Source organism: Homo sapiens, chromosome 19 (assembly GCF_000001405.40).
Source record: "Homo sapiens chromosome 19, GRCh38.p14 Primary Assembly".
NCBI lineage: Eukaryota > Metazoa > Chordata > Mammalia > Primates > Hominidae > Homo > Homo sapiens.
This window is the reverse complement of record NC_000019.10, coordinates 9,311,590-9,322,647: the sequence shown is the minus strand read 5'-3', so window position 1 is coordinate 9,322,647 and position 11,058 is coordinate 9,311,590. Positions and strand designations below refer to the sequence as shown.

Sequence of the window (11,058 nt, the reverse complement as noted above, 5' to 3'; positions counted from 1 at the left end):
TGAGTGTTAGAGCTCTTAAAGCGGCGCGTCTGGAGTTGTTCATTTCTCCCGGTGGGCTCGTGGTCTCGCTGGCTTCAGGAGTGAAGCTGCAGACCTTCGCGGTGAGTGTTACAGCTCATAAAAGCAGTGTGGACCCAAAGAGTGAGCAGTAGCAAGAGTTATTGCAAAGAGTGAAACAACAAAGCTTCCACGGCGTGGAAGGGGATCAAAGCGGGTTACCACTGCTGGCTGGGGCAGCCTGCTTTTATTCTCTTATGTGGCCCCACCCACATCCTGCTGACTGGTAGAGTCAAGTGGTCTGTTTTGACAGGGCGCTGATTGGTGCCTTTACAATCCCTGAGCTAGACACAAAGGTTCTCCACATCCCCACTAGATTAGCTAGCTACAGAGTGTCGACACAAAGGTTCTCCAAGTCCCCACCAGAGTAGCTAGATACAGAGTGTTGATTGGTGCATTCACAAACCCTGAGCTAGACACAGGGTGCTGATTGGTGTGTTTACAAACCTTGAGCTAGATACAGAGTGCCAATTGGTGTATTTACAATACTTTAGCTAGACATAAAGGTTCTCCAAGTTCCCACTAGACTCAGGAGCCCAGCTGGCTTCACCCAGTGGATCTTGCACTGGGGCTGCAGGTGGAGCTGCCTGCCAGTCCCGCGCCATGCGCCCGCACTCCTCAGCCCTTGGGTGGTCGACGGGATTGGGTGCCGTGGAGCAGGGGGCGGCACTTGTCGGGGAGGCTCCGGCTGCACAGGAGCCCACGGAGGAGGAGGCGGGGGAGGAGGGGGTAGGAGGGGGAAGGAGCGGGGGGTAGGGCAGGGGGAGAGGAGGGTGGGGGTGGGGAGGGGGGTGGGGAGGAGGGTGGGGGGGAGGAGGGCGGGGGGAGGAGGGGAGGAGGAGTGGGGGAGGAGGGTGGCAGGGGGGAGGAGGGCGGGGGGGAGAGGAGGGCGGGGGGGAGGAGGGCGTGGTGGCGGGGAAGGCTCAGGCATGGCAGGCTGCGGGTCCCGAGCCCTGCCCCACGGGAAGGCAGCTAAGGCCTCGCAAGAAATCGAGCTCAGCGCCAGTGGGCTGGCCCTGCTGGGGCACCCAGCACACCCTCCGCAGCCATTGGCCCGGGTGCTAAGACCCTCATTGCCCGGGGCAGGGACGGCTGGCTGCTCCGAGTGCAGGCCTGCCAAGCCCACGCCCACCCGGAACTCCAGCTGGCCCGCAAGCACCGTGCGCAGCCTGGTTCCCGCTAGTGCCTCTCCCTCCACACCTCCGTGAAGCTGGGGGAGCCGGATCCAGCCTTGGCCAGCCCAGAAAGGGGCTCCCACAGTGCAGCGGTGGGCTAAAGGGCTCCTTAAGTGCCGCCAAAGTGGGAGCCCAGGCAGAGGAGGCGCCGAGAGCGAGCGAGGGCTGTGAGGACTGCCAGCACACTGTCACCTCTCACTAACATTCTTAAATATCTGCTAGCTGTAATAAAGAAATCAGTGTACTTTATGTTCTTAGCTCCCACAATTTAGCCTAAATATTTGCCCTGGCATGCTTATACTGGTCCAAGCAAGCATTAGGTCATAGTCTGTTCCTCTTCCTTATCTGAAGGTGTTTTTACCTTTCTCAGCATCCCACAAGTTACTTCCTCCATCCTTTGTTCTCCTCTGCCTTTGCCTCTTTTAAAAAGTCCTAAGTTGCTAGCCAATCAGGACAAATACAGAATGGAAGGTCCTGTTCTAGCCAATGGAAACTGATAAGCCTCCTCTAATCTCCCCCACCCAGAAAGAAACAAGCAAAGAAATCTCCAAGGTACCACAGCCCCCACCCCCCCCCCGCCGGCTATCGGTTTTGTCCCCTTCAAGCTGTAGGGAGAGGGGAATTTGGCCCAACCCGGGTACATGTCCCCTTCTCCCTCTCTGATTTAAAGCAGATCAAGGTAGACCTGGGGAAGTTTTCAGATGATCCTTATAGGTATATAGATGTCCTACAGGGTCTAGGGCAAACCTTCAACCTCACTTGGAGAGATGTCATGCTATTGTTAGATCAAACACTGGCCTTTAATGAAAAGAATGCGGCTTTAGCTGCAGCCTGAGAGTTTGGAGATACCTGGTATCTTAGTCAAGTAAATGATAGAATGACAGCTGAAGAAAGGGACAAATTCCCTATGGGTCAGCAAGCCATCCCCAGTATGGATCCCCACTGGGACCTCGACTCAGATCATGGGGACTGGAGTTGCAAACATCTGTTGACCTGTGTTCTAGAAGGACTATGGAGAATTAGAAAAAAGCCCATGAATCATTCAATGAAGTCCACCATAACTCAGGGAAAGGAAGAAAATCCTACCACCTTCCTTGAGTGACTATGGGAGACCTTAAGAAAATATACTCTCCTGTCACCTGACTCTCTCGAGGGTCAATTGATCCTCAAAGATAAGTTTATTACCAAATCAGCCGCAGATATCAGGAGAAAGCTCCAAAAGCTAGCCCTGGCCCTGAACAAAATTTGGAGGCATTATTAAACCTGGCAACCTTGGTGTTCTATAATAGGGACCAAGAGGAACAGGCCAAAAAGGAAAAGCGAGATAAGAGAAAGGCCGCAGACTTAGTCATGGCCCTCAGACAAACAAACCTTGGTGGTTCAGAGAGGACAGAAAATGGAGCAGGCCAATCACCCAGTAGGGCTTGTTATCAGTGTGGTTTGCAAGGACACTTTTTTTTTTATTATACTTTAAGTTTTAGGGTACATGTGCACAACGTGAAGGTTTGTTACATATGTATACATGTGCAATGTTGGTGTGCTGCACCCATTAACTCATCATTTAACATTAGGTGTATCTCCTAATGCTATCCCTCCCCCTCCCCCCACCACACAACAGGCCCCCGTGTGTGATGTTCCCCTTCCTGTGTCCATGTGTTCTCATTGTTCAATTCCCACCTATGAGTGAGAACACGCGGTGTTTGGTTTTTTTTTCTGCAGGGACACTTTAAAAAAGATTGTCCAATGAGAAACAAGCCGCCCCCTCACCCATGTCCACTATGCCAAGGCAATCACTGGCAGGCACACTGCCCCAGAGGACAAAGCTTCTCTAGGCCAGAAGCCCCCAACCAGATGATCCAACAACAGGACTGAGGGTGCCCGGGGCAAGTGCCAGCTCATGTCATCACCCTCACTGAGCCTCGGGTAAGTTTAACCATTGAGGGCCAGGAAATTGACTTCTTCCTGGACACTGGCACAGCTTTCTCAGTGTTAAGCTCCTGCCCTGGATGGCTGTCCTCAAGGTCTGTTACCATCCGAGGAATCTTGGGACAGCCTGTAACCAGGTATTTCTCCCACCTCCTCATTTGTAATTGGGAGACTGCTCTTTTCACATGCCTTTCTTGTTATGCCTGAAAGTTCTACACCCTTATTAGGGAGAGATATATTAGCCAAAGCTGGAGCTATTATTTACATGAATATGGGGAACAAGTTACCCATTTGTTGTCCCCTACTTGAAGAGGGAACAACCCTGAAGTCTGGGCATTGGAAGGACAATTTGGAAGGGCAAAAAATGCCCACCCAGTTCAAATCAGGCTAAAAGACCCCACTACCTTTCCTTATCAAAGGCAATATCCCTTAAGACCTGAAGCTCATAAAGGATTACAGGATATTGTTAGACATTTAAAAGTTCAAGGCTTAGTAAGAAAATGCAGCAGTCCCTGCAACACCCCAATTCTGGGAGTACAAAAACCAAATGGTCAGTGGAGACTAGTGCAAGGTCTTAGACTCATCAATGAGGCAGTAATTCCTCTATATCCAGCTGTACCCAACCCATTTACCATGCTGTCTTAAATACCAGAGGAAGCAGAATTGTTCACTGTTCTGGACCTCAAGGATGCCACCTTCTGCATTCTCCTGCACTCTGACTCCCAGTTTCTCTTTGCCTTTGAGGATCCCACAGACCACACTTCCCAACCCATGTGGATGGTCTTGCCTCAAGAGTTTAGGGATAGTCCTCATCTCTTTGGTCAGGCATTGGCCCAAGATCTAGGCCACTTCTCAAGTCCAGGCACTCTGGTCCCTCAGTATGTGGATGATTTACTTTTGGCTACCAGTTCGGAAGCCTCATGCCAGCAGGCTACTCTACATCTCTTGAACTTTCTAGCTAATCAAGGGTACAAGGCATCTAAATTGAAGGCCCAGCTCTGCCTACAGCATGTCAGATATCTAGGCCTAATCTTAGCCAGAGGAACCAGGGCCCTCAGCAAAGAACAAATACAGCCTATATTGGCTTTTCCTCACCCAAAGACATTAAAGCAGTTGTGGGTGTTCCTTGGGATCATCGGCATTTGCCAACTATGGATCCCCAGATATAGCGAGTTGGCCAGGCCACTCTATACTCTAATCAAGGACACCCAGAGGGCAAATACTTATCTAGTAGAATGGGAACCAGAGGCAGAAACAGCCTTCAAAACCTTAAAGCAGGCCCTAGTACAAGCTCCAGTCTTAAGCCTTCTCACAGGACAAAACTTCTCTTTATACGTCACAAAACTTCTCTTTATACATTGGGAATAGCTCTTGGAGTCCTTACTCAGACTCGTGGAACAACCCCACAACCAGTGGCATACCTAAGTAAGGAAATACCTAAGTAGTAGCAAAAGGCTGGCCTCACTGTTTATGGGTAGTTATGGCGGTGGTCATCTTAGTATCAGAGGCTATCAAAATAATACAAGGAAAGGATCTCACCCTCTGGACTACTCATGATGTAAATGGCATACTGGGTGCCAAAGGAAATTTATAGCTATCAGACAACCATCTGCTTAGATACCAGGCACTACTCCTTGAGGGGCTGGTGCTTCAAATACACACATGTGCTGCCCTCAACCCTGTTACTTTTCTCCCAGAGGATGGGGAACCAATCAAGCATGACTGCCAACAAATTGTAGCCCAGCCTTATGCTGCCCAAGAGGATCTCTTAGAAGTCCCCTTAGCTAATCCTGACCTTAACCTATATACCGATGGAAGTTCATTTGTGGAGAATGGGATATGAAAGGCAGGTTATGCCATAGTTAGTGATGTAACAGTACTTGAAAGTAAGCCTCTTCCCCCAGGGACCAGCGCCCAGTTAGCAGAACTAGTGGCGCTTACCTGAGCCTTAGAACTGGGAAAGGAAAAAAGAATAAACATGTACACAGATAGCAAGTATGCTTATCTAATCTTACATGGCCATGCTGCAATATGGAATGAAAGGGAGTTCCTAACTTCTGGGGGTACCCCCATTAAATACCACAAGAAAATCATGGAGTTATCGCACGCCGTGCAAAAACCCAAGGAGGTGGCAGTCTTACACTGCCGAAGCCATCAAAAAGGTGAAGGAGAAAAGGCAGAAGGAAACTGTCAGGCAGACGCTGAGGCTAAAATTGCTGCCAGGCAGAACCTCCCATTAGAAATACCCTTGTTATGGAACAAGGTTCCATATTGTTATTATTACCCATAATAAGGACCCTTGTTATGGAACAACCCTCTCCAGGAGATTAAGCCCCAGTATTCTCCGACAGAAACAGAATGAGGACTTTCACGGGGGCATAGTTTTCTCCCCTTGGTGTGGTTAATGACAGAAGAGGGAAAGGTACTCATACCCGAAGCCAGCCAGTGGAAAATACTTAAGACCCTCCACCAAACTTTTCATATGGGTATTGAGAGCACTCATCAAATAGCTAAATCCCTATTTACAGGGTCAAATCTCCTCTGAACCATCCAACAAGTAGTCAGAGCCTGTGAGGTGTGCCAAAGGAATAATCCCTTGGTTCATTGTAAGGCCCCTCTTGGGGAACAAAGAATAGGGCACTATCCTGGAGAGGACTGGCAATTAGACTTCACCCATATGCCTAAGTCAAGTGGATTTCAATACTTGTTGGTCTGTGTTGATGCTTTTACAAATTGGATAGAAGCCTTCCCCTGCAAGACAGAGAAGGTTCAGGAAGTGGTTAAAGACCTAATTCATTAAATAATTCCTAGATTTGGGCTTCCCCAAAGCTTACAAAGCGACAACAGTCTGGCTTTTAAAGCCACGGTAACTCAGGGAATTTCCAGGGCACTAGGGATAAAATATCACCTTCACTGCACCTGGAGGCCACAATCCTCAGGGAAGGTCTAGAGGGCAAATGAAACACTCAAGAGGCACCTAAGGAAACTAACACAAGAAACTCATTTCCCATGGCCTACTCTGTTGCCCATGGCCTTGTTGAGAATCCGAAATTCTCCTCACAAAATGGGGCTCAGTCCATATGAAATGCTGTATGGATGACCTTTTCTCACTAATGACCTTCTACTTTATCAGGAAATGGCCAGTTTGGTCAAAGATATAACTTCTTTGGCAAAATATCAATAAAATCTTAAAAACCTACCCGAAGGATGTCACGAAGACAAGGGAACAGAGTTGTTCCAACCAGGAGATCTAGTGTTGGTCAAGTCCCTCCCCTCTACCTCCCCATCTATGGATTCCTTGTGGGAAGGAACATACTCCGTAATCCTCTCTACCCCCACTACAGTTAAGGTGGCAGAAGTGGAATCTTGGATTCACCACACCCGAGTTAAACTTTGGACACCCGTTATGAAGGAAAATACCCTTTCCAACTTGTAAATATGCAATCATTAGCCAACTTCCCCATCTCCGATAGGACCAAAAATACCCTAACAGGACGTACAATCCAGCTTTTACGCTCTTACATTTCCAACTTCATCTATTACATGAGCAATGAAAAACCCATACATGGCCCTGTAACCGCGAATACCATCTTAACTTTCCAAGCCCCTTTATGCATCCAATGGAACCTGTTATCAGGCCTGCCCCTGGGACACCTGCTATCCCATCAGTGTAATTATACCCTACAACTTCAAGCCCCAACTGATCATAGTAACTTCCGAGTCACCCAAACAGCTCCATTCAGATGGCTTGTCTGCTTCTCAGGGCCCCCTAAAATCATCACCTCCTCCCTGCTTAAACAGTTTGTAATGGCAAACATCCTCCCTGCATGACCATTCACCCCTGGAACCCCTGCAGCAGCGCCCCCACCACTAATGAATGCCTTCTCATCCCCTCTTTCAATCACTCTCTTGAATGGTTCCTAGTAGATACAAAATGGTTTTTTCTCTAATGGGAAAATAGAACACAGGGAGCCACTCAGTTTGCTCCCAATACCCCTTTCCAGCTGCTCACTGGAGCTACCTTGACAAGTACTCCAGGAGTATGGGAAAATGAAAAGAACAAACTCACACGCCTTTTTAACATACACAACCATTTCTGTCTACCCAGCCAAGGCATATTCTTCCCATGTGGAACTTCAACCTATATCTGCCTCCCCACCAACTGGAGACGCACCTGCACCTTAGTCTTCCTAAGTCCCAACATTGACATTGCCCCAGGAAATCAGACCCTATCAGTGCCCCTCAAAGCTCAAGTTTGTCAGTGCAGGGCCATACAACTAATACTCCAACTTATAGGGTTAGGAATGGCCACTGCTACAGGAACTGGAATAGCCAGTTTATCTACTTCATTATCCTATTACCACACACTCTCAAAAGATTTTTCAAACAGTTTGCAAGAAATAAAATCTATCGTTACTCTACAATCCCAAATAGACTCTTTAGTGGCAGTGACTGTCCAAAACCGCTGAGGCCTAGACCTCCTCACTGCTGAGAAAGGAGGACTGTACATTCTTAAGGGAAGAGTGTTGCTTTTACACTAACCAGTAAGGGATAGTATGAGATGCCGCTTATCGTTTACAGGAAAAGGCTTCTGAAATCAGACAACGCCTTTCAAACTCTTATACCAACCTCTGGAGTTGGGCAACATGGCTTCTCCCCTTTCTCAGTCTCAGGACAGCCATCTTGCTATTACTTGCCTTTGGGTCCTGTATTTTTAACAACCTTGTCAAATTTGTTTCCTCCAGGATCGAGGCCATCAAGCTACAGAGGGTCTTACAAATGGAACCCCAAATGAGCTCAACTCAGAACTTCTACTGAGGACCCCTGGACTGACCCACTGGCCCTTTCACTGGCCTAGAGAGTTCCCCTCTGGAGGACACTACAACTGCAGGGCCCCTTCTTCACCCCTATCCGGCAGGAAGTAGCCCAGAGCGGTCATCACCCAGTTCCCAACAGCTGTTGGGTGACCTGTTTAGAGGGATAATTGAGAGGTGAGGCCAGCTGGACTTCCTGAGTTGAGTGGGGACTTGGGGAACTTTCCTGTCTTACAAGCGGATTGTAAAATGCACCAATCAGCACTCTGTAAAACGCACCAATCAGCAGGATTCTAAAAGTAGCCAATCACAGGGAGGATTGAAAAAAGGGCACTCTGATAGGACAGAAACGGAACATGGGAGGGGTCGATAAGGGAATAAAAGCTGGCCACCCCCCCCCAGCCAGCAAGGCAACCCGCTAGGGTCACCTTCCACGCTGTGGAAGCTTTGTCCTTTCGCTCTTCACAATAAACGTTGCTCACTCTTTGGGTCCATGCCATCTTTAAGAGCTGTAACACTCACTGCAAAGGTCCGCAGCTTCATTCTTGAAGTCAGCAAGACCACAAACCCACCAGCAGGAACCAACTCTGGACACATTATCTCCTTTACAGCTTGGGTCCAGAGAGCTGCCTTAGACTCTCCAGTGAATCTATTCAAACAGCTGCCTCTGTTATCTTGACTCATCTCAGATTTCGTCCACCTGAGACACGTGCTGGTACTAGGAATGTAAGACTGTCTGTATTATTTTGGCTTGCTCCAGGTTAGGGAGAAGCCCGTGTGAAGCTTCAACTGACCATGTGTTTCATTTCTAGCTTTGATGTCTGGGCACTGATTTCCCTAGATTTAACTATTTGCTCAATGTTAAGGCAGTTTTGTGGAAATTTGTCTGTGTAACAGAAGTGCTGTGCAGGTCTGTCTGTGTGACTGTCATGCAGGCCTGTCTGTGTGATTGTCAGGGAGAATTGACCTGCCACAAATTGGGAGGAAAAGCAGTCTGGATACCATGAACCAATTCTTGGTGTTGCTAGGACCTGGTCTGTCAGTAAAGGAAAACCAAGGCAAAACATGCTTTGACCACTGTCCTAGTTATAGATTTATTACTTATGCTACAAATTTGTCCTTTTTTTCTGCTTTGTGATAATGGAGATGGGCCTTATAAATATTTCTCTTTTACCCATTACCAGTGTAGGGTGCTGGAAGACAAGGAAGGAGGAAGAAGCTTCCTTTCCAAGTTTCAGTGTTGAGGTAGAATAGGGTCTAGAGGAAGGGAACCTAAGGCCAATCACGCTGACTTTCTAGAACTAGATCAAAAGGAAACCCCACTTTCCATGCCCAAGTAACAAAAGGACCAGAGGCTATTGCCTTTGCAATCCCTCACCTTTTTTGCATGGCAGATGAAAAATTGAAATTACTTCTGATTGGCCGGGCATGGTGGCTCACACCTGTAATCCCAGCACTTTGGGAGGTCAAGGCAGGTGGATCACCTGAGGTCAGGAGTTCGAGACCAGCCTGACCAACATGGAGAAACTCCATCTCTACTAAAAATACAGAATTAGCCGGGTGTTGTGGCACATGCCTGTAATCCCAGCTACTCGGGAGGCTGAGGCAGGAGGATTGTTTGAACCCAGGAGGTGAAGGTTGCAATGAGCTGAGATTGCACCACTGCACTCCGGCCTGGGCGACAGAGCGAGACTGAGTCAAAAACAAACAAACAATAAAAAAACCTACTGTTATGCGTACTGTAGGAAGCAGCCCTACTGGGTCTGTGGGTTTTTCTCTTCGTGTGTGGAGACAAGAGATCATAGAAATAAAGACACAAGACAAAGAGATAGACAAAAAGACAGCTGGGTCCGGGGAACCACTACCACCAAGGTGCAGAGACCAGTAGCGGCCCCGAATGCCTGGCTGCACTGTTATTTATTGGATACAAGACAAGGAGGGAGGGTAAGGAGTGTGAGCCATCTCCAATGATAGGTAAGGTCACGCGAGTCACGTGTCCACCAGACAGGGGGCCCTTCCCTGTTTGGCAGCTGAGGTGGAGAGAGAGAGAGGACAGCTTACGCCATTATTTCTTCTATGCATTTCAAAGACTTTAGTACTTTCACTAATTCCGCTACTGCTGATTAGAAGGCAGAACCAGGTGTACAGGGTGGAACATGAAAGTGGACCAGGAGTGTGACCACTGAAGCACGGCATCACAGGGAGACGTTTAGGCCTCTGGATGGCTGCGGGCGGGCCTGACTGATGTCAGGCTTTCCGCAAGAGGTAGTGAGCAGAGTCTTCTCTAACTCCCCCGGGGAAAGGGAGACTCCCTTTCCCTGTCTGCTAAGCAATGGGTGCCTTCCCCAGGCACTGACGCTACTGCTAGACCAAGGTCCGCTAGGTAACGGGCTCCTTCCCAGGGGCTGGCATTACCGCTAGACCAGGGAGCCCTCTGGTGGCTCTGTCCAGGCATAACAGAGGGCTCACCCTTGTCTTCTGGTCACTTCTCACCATGTCCCTTCAGCTCCTATCTCTGTATGGCCTGGTTTTTCCTAGGTTATGATTGTAGAACAAAGATTATTATAATATTGGAATAAAGAGTAATGCTACAAATGATTAATGATATATACAATCATATCTATAATCTATTTCTAGTATAACTACTCTTATTCTATATATTTTCTTTATTATACTGGAACAGCTTGTGCCCTCGGTCTCTTGCCTTGGCACCTGGGTGGCTTGCCACCCACGCGTACAAAGAAGGCAGAAAGGAAATACAGAAAATTCAAACACTGCTGGGATTCTGAATGTTGTTTGTCTTTTCCTTATACTTTTCCTTTAAAATAAAAAACTACAATGAGAACATAATGCTTCATAATAGAAAAAGATTTACACTTAAAAAACATAGATGATGAAAGGGAGCTGGCTAGGGCACCAGGGACAGGCATTGGGAAGGTGACCTCAAGCCGCAGTGAAGAAGTAATGAACAACCTAGGGACCAATACAGAAAGGCCACCTGTGGTTCACTTATATAACACATCTCTACCTCATATTATACCAAAATACATTCCCTGAGCAGTAAAGAATTATACGTTTTAAAAAGC

General features: G+C 48.0%; 1 annotated feature.

Moving 5' to 3' along the window:
- Positions 10,241-10,535: a silencer, noted in NCBI's record as "tiled region #15409; K562 Repressive DNase unmatched - State 12:CtcfO". NCBI's record gives its function as "represses a minimal TATA promoter and a strong SV40 promoter by Sharpr-MPRA in K562 cells {active_cell/tissue: K562}" and the evidence as "EXISTENCE:reporter gene assay evidence [ECO:0000049][PMID:27701403]".